General features: G+C 46.2%; 1 protein-coding gene across 5 annotated transcripts in view; it reads left to right on the plus strand.

Moving 5' to 3' along the window:
* The window catches only part of CTCF (CCCTC-binding factor), a 76,652-nt gene that overhangs the window by 57,077 nt on the left and 5,647 nt on the right, over positions 1-13,928 (plus strand). For all 5 annotated transcript variants that reach the window (NM_006565.4, NM_001438969.1, NM_001191022.2 and 2 more), the window contains 5 exons: positions 1,095-1,215; positions 1,840-1,989; positions 6,953-7,113; positions 8,768-8,950; positions 9,796-9,931. In NM_006565.4, the coding sequence (NP_006556.1) occupies positions 1,095-1,215; positions 1,840-1,989; positions 6,953-7,113; positions 8,768-8,950; positions 9,796-9,931 (751 nt within the window). The remainder of the gene's footprint in view (positions 1-1,094; positions 1,216-1,839; positions 1,990-6,952; positions 7,114-8,767; positions 8,951-9,795; positions 9,932-13,928) is intronic.

Consider the following 13,928-nt stretch of genomic DNA (forward strand, 5'->3'; position numbering starts at 1 on the left):
GGGTCTCTCACTCTGTCGCCCAGGCTGGACTGCAGTGGCGTGATCATGGCTCACTGTAGCCTTAAACTCCTGAGCTCAGGTGATCCTCCCACTTCAGCTGCTCCTCACGTAGCTGAGACTACAGGCATGTGCCATCACACCCAACTAATTTTTGTATTTTTTGTAGAGACAGGGTTTTGCCATGTTGCCCAGGCTGGTCTCGAACTCCTGACCTCAAGCAATCGCACGCCTTGGGCCTGCCAAAGTGCTGGGACTACAGGTGTGAGCCACCGTGACCTGCCCTCAAAGCACTTCATAGAATCAAGTTTGAAAGTCACTGTTTTAGTATAAGGTATCCTGCAGGGGACTAAAGGATGGATAATGGTGAGGATGATAGAAGAGAGGCCCTTCGAGCCTGGCCTGTCTAGGAAACGCTAATGATAGGAAAAGAGGATGAGTGGAATTAAAATATGTACTCAGTAACACAGGATTTGGAACAAATTGATCTGTAAATAGGCATGGATTATTTTTAAACTATTATGGAAAATTTCAAACATGTAGAAGTAAAGATTGTAATACATCCTCATGTGCCTACCACCCAGCTTAAACAGTTACTAGTAATGCGCAGTCTTTTTTTTTGAGACAGAGTTTCGCCCTTGTCCAGGTTGGAGTGCAGTGGCACGATCTCGGGTCACTGCAGCCTCCACCTCCTGGGTTCAAGAGATTCTCCAGCCTCAGCCTTCCGAGTAGCTGGGATTACAGGCGTGTGCCACCATGCTTGGCTAATTTTTGTATTGTTAGTAGATACGGGGTCTCACCATTTGGCCAGGCTGGTCTTGAACTCCTGACCTCAGATGATCTGCCCACCTCAGCCTCCCAAGTAATGACCAATCTTGGCTTATCTATACCCGTATTCATTTACCCACTTCTCTTAGATAATGATATGGATTCGAGAAGCAAAGTTTACAAATAATGAAGAGGGAAGAAGGTTATCTTTTAGACTTCTGTATTCTGAACTTCAGTGCCCCAAAGCTAAGCTTTTGTGCCTAACCTACTGTGCTCTTGTTACAGTCTGTGTTAACAGAAGTTAAAGTTCGGTTGTTTTCGTATTTCAGGTCAGCAAATTAAAACGTCACATTCGCTCTCATACTGGAGAGCGTCCGTTTCAGTGCAGTTTGTGCAGTTATGCCAGCAGGGACACATACAAGCTGAAAAGGCACATGAGAACCCATTCAGGTAGGACTTCTCCACTCCTTACTGTATTAATGAGCTTCTTTTCAGTGAATCCCATGGGACCCTGTGGACCACTGTGTGTCCCCATTGTTTATATGAATGAAGACTGGCATGAAAATAGTATGGAATTGATAATGCTTCTCCGGCATATCCTCTGAATTCGTTGTTCAGAAAACACATTAGAAAATAGTACCTTTTGTTTTGTTCAACTTGAATCTGCCTACAACAAGAAAAATTTTAAGGGAGAAATTAAGTTAAAATGGACAGATTTTAATTTTAAAAGTCTGGGTAGATTTCCTAACCTACCTTATTCAGTTTTCCTGGATATTGTCTTTTCCTAAAAAGAAAAACTTGTGGGTTCTCCATTCAGTCTCCCCCAAAGGTAAGCATTGCTGTAATGTGGAGGATTCCAGAGTAGAGCTGGGCAGAGCAGAGGTGGCCAGCAGCAGTTTAGGACTTGGCCATATCTGAAGATAGACAAGATCCGGGAACTGGGACTGAGCCTCAGCCTTCCTAAGACCTGTAGATTCTCTGTGGTGTAGCATATCTGCCACCTGAGTTACCCTCCAGTTAAATTACAGTATTTATTCATTTCATTTATGTGTTCATTCTGTATTTTCTTTAAAGGGGAAAAGCCTTATGAATGTTATATTTGTCATGCTCGGTTTACCCAAAGTGGTACCATGAAGATGCACATTTTACAGAAGCACACAGAAAATGTGGCCAAATTTCACTGTCCCCACTGTGACACAGTCATAGCCCGAAAAAGTGATTTGGGTAAGTAGATTAACTAGTGAGAAGTGAAAAAAATATTTTGAAGGATTTATATTTCGAAATATGGGGATCAAAAATAACTTCACCTTCTGACTCTCATAACATTTTATGTATAGGAATGGCCTGTCACTTAGTTTAGTAAAAGCCATTGCTTAGCTGCTTTTTTTTTTTTTTTTTTTCTATTTCTTCCTTTTCTTACTGTAGTCAGGCCACAAGATTCTGTCCTGAGTAAAACTCATCTATAAATTAATGGGAGCTGTGATGGGAGGAGACAGAGTACACCTTTAATTAGTAGCCTTCCTTCCCCAAATAGGAAAGTAACATAGTGTGATTCAAACTCAGGTCATTCTATTGTATTTTTTTGAGAACGTCTGTACTTTCTCTAGGTAATGGGACTGTTTTATTGGTTTAGTGGTAACTGTATTTCTGTGCATAGTTAAACTAGAGTTTACATGCAGCCGGAGTTTATTAATAATATTTAGTGTAGGCCGGGCGCGGCAGCTCACACCTGTAATCCCAGCACTTTGGGAGGCCAACGCGGGTGGATCACGAGGTCAGGCGATCGAGACCATTCTGGCTAACATGGTGAAACCCTGTCTCTACTAAAAATACAAAAAATTAACTGGGCATGGTGGTGGGCGCCTGTAGTCCCAGCTACTCGGGAGGCTGAGGCAGGAGAATGGCGTGAACCTGGGAGGTGGAGCTTGCAGTGAGCAGAGATCACGCCACCGCACTCCAGCCTGGGTGACAGAGCGCGACTCTGTCTCAAAAAAAAAAAAGGTAACGAGTAAAAAGTGAGAGCCATCCTCTCCCTTACCTCATATCTACTCCCAATAATTAGCTCTCTTTAAGTTTAGTGGGATATCACCTCAGTTGATACAACTTGTAGTACCGTAAATACATAAATTCATGATCCCAAATGTAGCTGGGCCCTCACTGCTCCTAGCTGTTCCAGCTGTTTGTTCTTGTCAGGTGTGCTCCAGTTCTTTATGAGTGAGCGAATTCATTCCACAGTGTTTGGTGCTTATATAGAGTTGGGCAACCTACTCTTACTTTTTTTTTTTTTTTTTTTGAGATGGAGTTTTCCTCTCGTCACCCAGGCTGGAGTATGATGGCATGAACTCAGCTCACTGCCACCTGTGCCTCCCAGGTTCAAGTGATTCTCCTGCCTCAGCCTCCTGAGTAGCTGAGATTATAGGCGCATACCACCATGCCCGGCTAAATTTTTTTTTTTTTTTTTTTTTGTATTTTTTAGTAGAGATGGGGTTTCACCATGTTGGCCAGGCTGGTCTTGAACTCCTGACCTCAGGTGATCTGCCTACCTCGGCCTCCCAAAGTGCTGGGATTACAGACATGAGCCACCGCGCCCAGCCCTCACTTGCTTTTTTTTGTGACAAAGTTTTGCACTTGTCACCCAGGCCAGAGTGCAGTGGCCTGATCTCTGTTCACTGCAACCTCCGCCTCCTGGGTTCAAGCTCTTCTCCTGCCTCAGCCTCCCAAGTGGCTGGGACTACAGGTGCCCGCCCATGGCTAATTTTTGTATTTTTAGTAGAGACAGGGTTTCACCATGTTGGCCAGGCTGCTCTCGAACTCCTGACCTCAAGTGATCTGCCCTCATTGGCCTCCCAAAGTGTTGGGATTACAGGCGAGAGCTGCTACACCAGATCCCCTACTCCTATTTTCTTATAACCTCTAATTTTCCTTCTTTTTTCTCTCCCCTCTTGGTCTCAGTAAATGACTTCTCTTCCTACTTAAAAAATAAAGACAAAGGGCCAGGCGCAGTGGCTCACGCCTGTAATCCCAGCACTTTGGGAGGCCAAGGTGGGTGGATCATTTGAGCTTAGGAGTTCCGGAGCAGCCTGGGCAACATGGCAAAACTCCATCTCTACCAAAAATACAAAACGGTTGTGGTGAGGTGCACCCTTGGTTCCAGCTACTCAGGAGGCTGTGGTGGGAGGATCACTTGAGCTTAAGAGGTAGAGGTTGCAACGAGCCGAGATCGTGCCACTGCACTCCAGCTTGGGTGACAGAGAGACCCCATCTCAAAAAAAAAAAAGAATCTTAGCCAGACACAGTGGCTCACACCTGTAGTTTCAGCTATTCAGGAGGATGGGCCAGGAGTTCTAGACCAACCTGTGTGATATAGCAAGACCCCGTCTCTTAAAATAAATAAAAATATAGCCGGGCACGGTGGCTCACGCCTCTAATCCCAGCACTTTGGGAGGCTGAGATGGGCGGATCACAAGGTCAGGAGATGAAGACCATCCTGGCTAACACAGTGAAACCCCATCTCTACTAAAAATACAAAAATTAGCCGGGTGTGGTGGCACATGCCTGTAGTCCCAGGTACTTGGGAGGCTGAGGCAGGAGAATTGCTTCAATCCGGGAGGGGGAGGTTGCAGTGAGCGGAGATCGCGCCACGGCACTCCAGCCTGGGCAAGAGAGTGAGACACTGTCTCAAAAAAAAAAAAAAAAATTATATATGTGTGTGTGTGTGTGTGTGTGTGTGTGTGTGTGTGTGTGTGTGTATGTGTGTGTATATATATGTGTGTGTGTGTATATATGTGTGTATATATATATGTATTCATATATATATGTATTTTTATATATATGTATGTCTTCACCCTCTAGGTTTAACTCTTCTCTCCTTCCCAGCCAGCCTTTATGAAGAGTTAACATCCCTCACAGTCTTCTCCCCCTCATCTTTCCCTCTTGTCTGGCTTATTCCCCATCACTCTGGTATAATGACTGTTGCTTAAGGTCATGAATGACCCCACTCTCTGAATGTAGTGAAGACTCCTTTCCACTCTTCTTCCTAAGAGATGACTTGATCTGTTAGCAGTGTTCTTCATCGTTGACAGTACCCTCTTCCTTTGAAACACTTTCTTCCCTTGGCCTCTGTGACACTAAATCCTGTTGGTTTTCTTCTTCCTCTTACTTCTTTAAACTTTCTCTTATTTTAACCTTTTTTTCTCTCACTGGCCTTAACTCCAAGGTTTTTGTTTTTGTTTTTGTTTTTTACTGGAGACTGTCTTGCTCTGTTGCCCAGGCTGGAGTTCGGTGGCTCAGTCTTGGCTCACTGCAGCATCGACCAGGCTCAAGGAATCCTCCCACCTCAGCCTCCCTGGTAGCTAGGACCACAGGCACATGCCACGATGACCAGCTAATTTTTTTTTTTAGCTTTTGGTAGAGACAGGGTTTCACTATGTTGCCCAGGCTGGTCTCGTACTCCTGGACTCAAGCAATCCACCCACCTCAGCCTCCCAATATGCTAGGATTACAGGTGTGAGCCACCACACCTGGCCCAACTCTGAGACTTCTTTGTGTGTATGTGTGCTTGTGTGCTTTGTGTGAGAGACGGAGTTTCACTCTGTCACCCAGGCTGGAGTAGAGTGGCGCGATCTCGGCTCACTGCAACCACCACTTCCCTGGTTTAAATGATTCTCCTTCCTCATTTTCCCGAGTAGCTGGGACCACAGGTGTACGCCACCATGCCTAGCTAATTTTTGTATTTTTCAGTAGAGACGGGTTTCACTATATGTTGGCCAGGCCAGGTCTCAAACTCCTGACCTCAGGTGATCCACCCACCTTTGCCTCCTAAAGTGCTGGGATTCTTTTTGAGATGGAGTCTTTGTCGCCCAGGCTAGAGTACAGTGCAGTAGCACAATCTTGGCTCACTGCAACCTCTGCCCCCCAGGTTCAAGCCATTTTCTTGCCTCAGCCTCCCGAGTAGCTGGGATTACAGGTTTACAGGCATACACCACCACGCCCAGCTAATTTTTGTACTTTTTAGTAGAGACAGAGTTTTGCCATGTTGGCCAGGCTGGTCTTGAACTCGTCACCTCAGGTGATCCACCTGCCATGGCCTCCCAAAGTGCTAGGATTACAGGCGTGAGCCACTGTGCCTGCCAACTCTTAGACTTCTCAAAGCATGACCCATTCTTTTTATTTTAATTCTACTTTTTGCCTTGGTGATCTTATCAGCTCCCATGGGCTCAAATTCTAACAACTCTTTGTGGCATTGGTGGTACAGTGATAAGCATAGCTGCTTTCAAATCCTAACAACTTGTACATTTATATTCCTACTCCAGATCTTTCTTTTGAGTTAGCCTTATATAACTGTGTATCCCTTGCCATCCCACCCCTGCTTTTATATCTCTGGCATTTCAAATTCAGCATGTCTAAAACTGAAGGTCTAAAACTTCTCTGTCCCCTATGCCCCCCCACCCCCCGACCCTGAAAATAACACATACAACTTGGTCTTAAGCCCTCTTCCACTATTCTTGTCTCAATAAATGACCCCAACAGCTACCTGGTTTTCCAGGCCTGATACCTACTTTATTCTTCACTCTCTACAGTCACTAAATCCTGTTGATTCAACTGCTTCCATCTCTCATCAGTTCTTCCCCTTCCATCCACACCCATTGTCATCACCCTTGTCCCAGCCACCATCTTCTCCCACCTATCCTGTTTGAACAATCTTAATTGTTCTCCCTGCACCTGTTACTCTGCCTTTTCATTCATTTTCTGTATAGCACCCAGAGTAATACTTAAGAATCAGGAGAAATGGGCTGGGCGCAGTGGCTCACACCTATAATTCCAGCATTTTGGGAGGCCGAGGCGGGCAGATCACGAGGTCAGGAGATTGAGACCATCCTGGCTAACATGATGAAACCCTGTCTCTACTAAAAATACAAAAATAAAAAATAAAAAAATTAGCCGGGCATGGTGGCGGGCGCCTGTAGTCCCAGCTACTCAGGAGGCTGAGGCGGGAGAATGGCATGAACCTGGGAAGTGGAGCTTGCAGTGAGCTGAGATTGCGCCACTGCACTCCAGCCTGGGTGACAGAGCAAGACTCCGTCTCAAAAAAAAAAAAAAAAAAAAAGAATCGAGAAATGTATTAGTAACTTGTTAAAATGCTTGTTTGTGTTTTCACATTACCCTGGGCTTTTTACTGTGCTTTCAGGTGTCCACTTGCGAAAGCAGCATTCCTATATTGAGCAAGGCAAGAAATGCCGTTACTGTGATGCTGTGTTTCATGAGCGCTATGCCCTCATCCAGCATCAGAAGTCACACAAGAATGAGAAGCGCTTTAAGTGTGACCAGTGTGATTACGCTTGTAGACAGGTAGGAACCTTCATTGAAAGTTGTTGGTGCTTTCTCGGTGTCTGGTGTTATCAGAGGGCATTTACATATCTAGTACAGTGGCTGTTTTTAAAGATAGTATTTTCAAACTGTGGATTATGAGGAATGTCACCAAAATCAAAGGTCATGCTCCTTGTCAATTGTGTCATCCCGGTGTCCAGATGATGTTTTATTCAGTCACAGCTTACCTCTTCCTTAAGCAGACATCTTTCTGAAAACTGTGGAAAGTAAGTCCAGGACTTGAGAGAGGGGAAGAATCTCATGCGGGGACATGACTGTTGGGAGGGAGCCAAAGAAGGAGCTCAGCAGGAATAAGCAGCTCTATCTGTGCTACAATTATGGAAGCAGTTGTGCACCACACTAAAAATACCTTTATCAAGCCGGGTGCAGTGGCTCACACCTGTAATCCTAGCACTTTGGGAGGCCGAGATAGGCAACAGAGAGAGACCCCATCTCTACAAAAAGAAAAAATTAGGGCCGGGCGCGGTGGCTCGAGCGCCTGTAATCCCAGCACTTTGGGAGGCTGAGGTGGGCGGATCACTTGAGGTCAGGAGCTTGAGAGCAGCCTGGCCAACACGGTGAAACCCCGCCTCTACTAAAAATACAAAAATTAGCCGGGCATGGTGATAGACGCCTGTAATCCCAGCTACTCTGGAAGCTGAGGCAGGAGAATCGCTTGAACCTGGGGCGGAGGTTGCATTGAGCCGCGATTGCGCCACTGCGCTCCAGCCTGGGTGGCAGAGCGAGACTCTGTCTCCAAAAGAAAAAGAAAAAATTAGCTGGGGCCAGGCACGGTGACTCACACCTGTAATCCCAGCACTTTGGGAAGCCAAGGCAGGCAGATCATTTGAGGTTGGGAGTTCAAGACCAGCCTGGCCAACCTGGTGAAATCCCATCTCTACTAAAAAAAAAAAACAAAAAAACACGAAGGTCGGCCGGGCGCGGTGGCTCACGCCTGTAATCCCAGCACTTTGGGAGGCCGAGGCAGGTGGATCACAAGGTCAGGAGATCAAGACCATCCTAGCTAACACAGTGAAACCCCGTCTGTACAAAAAATCAGCTGGGCGTGGTGGTGGGTGCCTGTAGTCCCAGCTACTCCGGAGGCTGAGGCAGGTGAATGGCATGAACCCAGTGAGCCGAGATTGCGCCACTGCACTCCAGCCTGGGCGACAGAGTGAGACTCCATCTCAAAAAAAAAAAAAAAAAAAAAAGTCAGCTGGGTGTGGTGGCAGGCACCTGTAATCGCAGCTACTCAAGAGGCTGAGGCAGGAGAATTGCTTGAATCCGGGAGGTGGAGGTTGCAGCGAGCCAAGATCGCGCCACTGCACTCCATCCTGGGCGATAGAGCGAGACTCCGTCTCAAAAAAAAAACAAAAAAAATTAGCCAGGCATGGTGGCTCATACCTATGGTCCCATTTTGAAGCTGCAGTAAGCCATGATCACACCACTGCTCTCCAGACTTTGCAACAGAGCAAGACCCTGTCTCTAAATATATAGCTTTATCATCTCAACAAGCCGTGTGGAGTCTAGACCTAGCTTGGGTGAGAAATACCTGTTGGCCACATGCATGCAGGTGGCAGCTGGGGCAGTAGCCCCATGAGCAGGCTCTGAGGCCTTTCCCCCTATGCCGTTTCAGGAGAGGCACATGATCATGCACAAGCGCACCCACACCGGGGAGAAGCCTTACGCCTGCAGCCACTGCGATAAGACCTTCCGCCAGAAGCAGCTTCTCGACATGCACTTCAAGCGCTATCACGACCCCAACTTCGTCCCTGCGGCTTTTGTCTGTTCTAAGTGTGGGAAAACATTTACACGTCGGGTAAGGGTCAGAACTTCACTTTGCCTGTTATGATACTGAATATTGGATTTTTGGTCTTCCTCTGCAGAGCATGGTAGTTTTTTTCACTGAGGTTATAAACAGAGATGCTCCATTGTTTGGAAAGGGTTAGTCATCCCCATCTTGATGTTTCTATCCATGTGTGAACCCTTCCACTGATGGGGAACACAGTATCTTTGAATAGATTGATTGCATAAAGAAATTTCCTGGCCAGGCGCGGTGGCTCGCGCCTGTAATCCCAGCACTTTGGGAGGCCAAGGTGGGTGGATCACGAGGTCAGGAGATCGAGACCATCCTGGCTAACATGGTGAAACACCGTCTCTACTAAAAATACAAAAAATTAGCTGGGTGCGGTGGCGGGCCCCTGTACTCCCAGGAGGCTGAGGCAGGAGGATGGCGTGTACCCGGGAGGCAGAGCTTGCAGTGATCCGAGATGGCACCACTGCACTCCAGCCTGGGCGAAAGAGCAAGACTCCGTCTCAAAAAAAAAAAAAAAATTTCCTTAGGTGGATTGAAACCTGCACCCCACCCTACCCCACCCTTAGCTAGCTGTAGCCTGTTCTGGGTCTTCTCTTGGGGGCTCTGTTAGATCTTGACAGAACTAAGAGCTGGTCTGATCCTCCCCCGTCTCTGTCTGCAGGCTGCTGAGCCTCCCCTTAGAGAACCCAGCCTTATCCATTTCCCCTGAGCAGAGACAGCGTGTTCAGGACACACTTAGCAGATACTAGAATTTTTAGGCTTAATATGGATTTTATTAAAGTAAATAACTTCCAATCTGATCTTAGCTTTTTTAGTGGTGTGAAAGAGGATTTTGTTCTTTTTGTTAGAATACCATGGCAAGACATGCTGATAATTGTGCTGGCCCAGATGGCGTAGAGGGGGAAAATGGAGGAGAAACGAAGAAGAGTAAACGTGGAAGAAAAAGAAAGATGCGCTCTAAGAAAGAAGATTCCTCTGACAGTGGTAAGTGACTTGTTCCTTGATTTGCTTACTATGGCAGGCTTTGGAGCCCAGTTTCCAGTGTGTTTATGTATGGATATGCTGGGATATAGAGGCGGGCACACACTCTTCCTTTCTTTAAACTTCTCATCTCCTAACGTCTATTTACAACAGCAGTTAGTGTTTTTCTGGGGCATATTTTCTTTTTTCTTCGTGGCATTCCGCTCATTAATGCCCTTTTTTTTTTTTTTTTTTTTTTTTTTTTTTTTTTTTTTTTTTTTTTGAGACGGAGTCTCGCTCTGTCGCCCAGGCTGGAGTGCACTGGCGCGATCTCGGCTCACTGCAAGCTCAGCCTCCCGGGTTCACGCCATTCTCCTGCCTCAGCCTCCCGAGTAGCTGTGACTACAGGCGCCCACCACCAGGCCTGGCTAATTTTTTTGTATTTTTTAGTAGAGACGGGGTTTCACCGTGTTAGCCAGAATGGTCTCGATCTCCTCACCTCATGATCCGCCCTCCTCAGCCTCCCAAAGTGCTGGGATTACAGGTGTGAGCCACTGCGCCCGGCCATTATTAATGCCTTATACGTAATCTTGAGTTAAAGCAAAATTAATATTTTTATTCAGTTTATTCAAATTTGTGATATTCTAAGGCCAGCAGAGTTTCTTTTCCTATGTTCTTAACTTTTACATTTAGGAAGCTGGTCTAGATAAGAGCAGTGAATCTAATGGACATGAAGAAGGTTGTTTAAGCATCTTCACTTATGGTTTGACTGCCTGTGTCAGCCTAACCTTGAGAGGTGCTGATCAAGTCAGTGAAGGTCAGCCTTTCTCTTCCTACCTTAATCTCTCCATTTAAAGTTTAAAATCTTGCCTATTTTCCTACCACAGGTACTCTTTGGAGTGTTTTTTGCCTCTCTAGTCATGAAACCCAGGCAGGAGGTTGTGCTTAGAAGTGCCAAGCCTCGGTCGGGCACAGTGGCTCATGCCTGTAATCCCAGCACTTTGGGAGACAAAGATGGGCAGATCACTTGAGGTCAGGAGTTCGAGACCAGCCTGGGGAACATGGCAAAACCTTGTCTCTACAAAAAATTTAAAAATTAGCCAGGTGTGGTGGTACATGCCGATAGTCCCAGCTACTCGAGAGGCTGAGGTGGGAGAATCACCTGAGCCCGGGAAATTGAGGCTGCAGTGAGCTGTGATCACGCCACTGCCTTCCAGTCTGGTGGTCGAAGTGAGACCTTGTCTCCAAAAAAAACAAAAAGTGCCAAGCCTCACAAAGAGGGTGGAGGAACAAGAGTCTTGGTAACTTGGAGGCCACATTTAATTACACAAACATGTTCAGAGTGTTAGATTCTGTAGTGTGGATATCTAGGTTGCTGGCATCCAGGTGGGAAGGCACCTCTGTAACTAAAGACTTAAGGTATGGATGGAAAAGGTGGTAGAGAGTTTGGTTTTAGGAAATGGACTTCCCAGAAGCACCATTAAACTGGAGAGATTATAGATGATGCCTGATAGTCTAGGGATTCTTCATATTGTGTTTTGCACTGGTTGTCAGTAGAAATAGTGGGGAGGGGTTGAGATTTTTGAAGAAGGAACATATTGGAGAACTTTAGTGACTTTATTGGGCTTTTTTTGTTCTTTGTTTGTTTTTTTTTTGTTTTTTGTTTTTTTTTTGAGACAGTGTCTCCCTCTTGTTGCCCAGGCTGGAGTGCAGTAGTGCGATCTCTGCTCACTGCAACCTCCACCTTCTGGGTTCAAGCGATTTTCCTGCTCAGCTTCCCAGGTAGCTGGGATTACAGGCATGCCCCACCACACCCTATTAGTTTTTGTATTTTTAGTAGAGATAGGGTTTCACCATGTTGGCCAGGCTGGTCCAGAACCCCTGACCTCAGGTGATCCATCCGCCTCGGCCTCCCAAAGTGCTGGGATTACAGATGTGAGCCACTGTGCCCGGCTGTTTTTTTGTTTTTAAATAGAGATGGGGTCCCACTGTGTGGCTCAGGCTGGTCTCGTAACTCCTGGGCTCAAGTGATCCTCCTGCCTCGACCTCCCAATGTGCTGGGATTATAGGCATGAGCCACTGCACCCAGCTACTTTATGGGTTTTATTGTAAAACTTTCTCATGAAAGCACTAAGCTGTTTATGTTTGGATCTGTAACAAGGTCCCCCCCACCCCCCCCCCCTTTTTTTTTTCCTTTTTTTAAATGGAGTATCCGTTTTAAGTAGCATCTTCTTCAGTCACTGGGTGTTAAGTGTATGCCTCCTTTAAGATGTCAATTTGCAGCTGGTCATGGTGGCTCACGCCTGTAATCCCAGCACTTCGGTAGGCCAAGGCAGGCAGATCACCTTAGCTCAGGAGTTCAAGACCAGCCTGGGGAACATGGCAAAACCCTGTTATCTACAAAAAAATACAAAAATCAGCAGGGGGTTGTGGCCTGCGCCTGCGGTCCCAGCTACCTGGGAGGCTGAGGTGGGAGGATGGCTTGAGCCCAGTAGGTTGAGCTGCAGTGAACTGAGATAGTGTCACTGCACTCCAGCCTGGGTAACAGAGCGAGACCCTGTCTCCAAAAAAAAAAAAAAAGGGAAAAAAATTATTGCACTGAACTGTTGGGGGTTTTCAGAAATGTTAGGAGACTCCCAGATATTACCAGTGATCAGATAATCTTAACCTTGGGGATCCCTATAGTTGTTCTTAGTTGCAAAGCCGCCTGCTGCCAGACTCTGTCCTATGTCCTGCTTTCTCCTGATACTGCCTTGTTCACTTCTGTGGTTCATCTCCAGGAAGACCAGCTTCTTTCCCTAATTGTATGTAACCAGAAGCATCTTTAGTCAAAAGAGATTATTGATAGCTTCTGATAGATTTCTACAGTTCTGTGTTCTGTCTGCTGCTGGTTAGTAGAGCATGGAATTTGGTTCCAGGCCTTATACCTAGTGACTCTTTATCTCCCCCAGAAAAGGGACGTCAGCCTGGGCTCCATGCCACTGTTGGCCATGCAGTCTTACTTGTCCTGACCCAGAAGTTCTGCCTGTCGGCTGTCTACAGAGATTGACCAGCAGATGGTCTACTGCTGTTTTCAAGGCTTTTTGCTGAAATACCACCAAGCCAATAAGCCTTTGATCCTGTTAGCCTGCTTTTGTGTGCTTTTCCCCCAATTCTGACTGAACTTGTTTAGTTTTCTAGGCATTGGGCCAACTTAGGCAATAGAGGGCTTGAAGAAGTTCAGCAGGGAAGCATCTCTCGTTCTTGACACACTGCCACCTATCTATATATTCCCCACGTTTTCACTTAGGATTTCAGTCACTTGAGAAATAAGGCATTTTATCTGGAAGATCAGGAGTTTACCCACAGATCTCTAAATTTAAACATTTTGTTCCAGAGAAAGAGAGTGCATGTTAATAACCCGTGCTTTCTAGAGGAAGGCAGGCAGTGTACATTTTGTGCCGCAGCCATGGGGGAGGGATAACAAAAGCTCTTTGGCTGCCTGCAGATGTGGGCGCCAGAACAGCCCCAGACTGAGGGCAGAGGTTTGAATTCTACCTGCTGTGACTTAGCTGTGCATTGCAGTCACTTAGTTTCTCACTTTTTCTATAAAATGAGGGTAACACCCTCATTCAATGAAGTACTGAAGCCTAAGTGGAAAATGGTGAATTTTTAAATTGTGATGTTTGCTATAAGTAAAAGCTGTGTTTGTGGTAGACTATAGGTTACGGAGCAGGATTAAATGAGTTCCGTGAGTCCTGTTGATCCCCAGGTGTCACTATTAAATGGAGTGAGAATGTTACAGAAATTACTCAGGGAAACTGAGTCTCAGCTGGTCAGATGTCCCAGGTCACGTACCTAGTAAGAGATCTGAGACTCAGCCTTGTTGCCTGGCTCCTCGTCAGTATTCTTTATACAATAGTTTCCTCACTTTCATGTACCACTTATTTTACCACGAATGGACAATTGTGGCATTAGGGAGGAGAGCAAGAGGGTTGGAAATGACACATTGGGTCTAGTACAGCTGGGAATTAAGTCCAAA

Source organism: Homo sapiens, chromosome 16 (assembly GCF_000001405.40).
Source record: "Homo sapiens chromosome 16, GRCh38.p14 Primary Assembly".
Classification (NCBI taxonomy): Eukaryota; Metazoa; Chordata; class Mammalia; order Primates; family Hominidae; genus Homo; species Homo sapiens.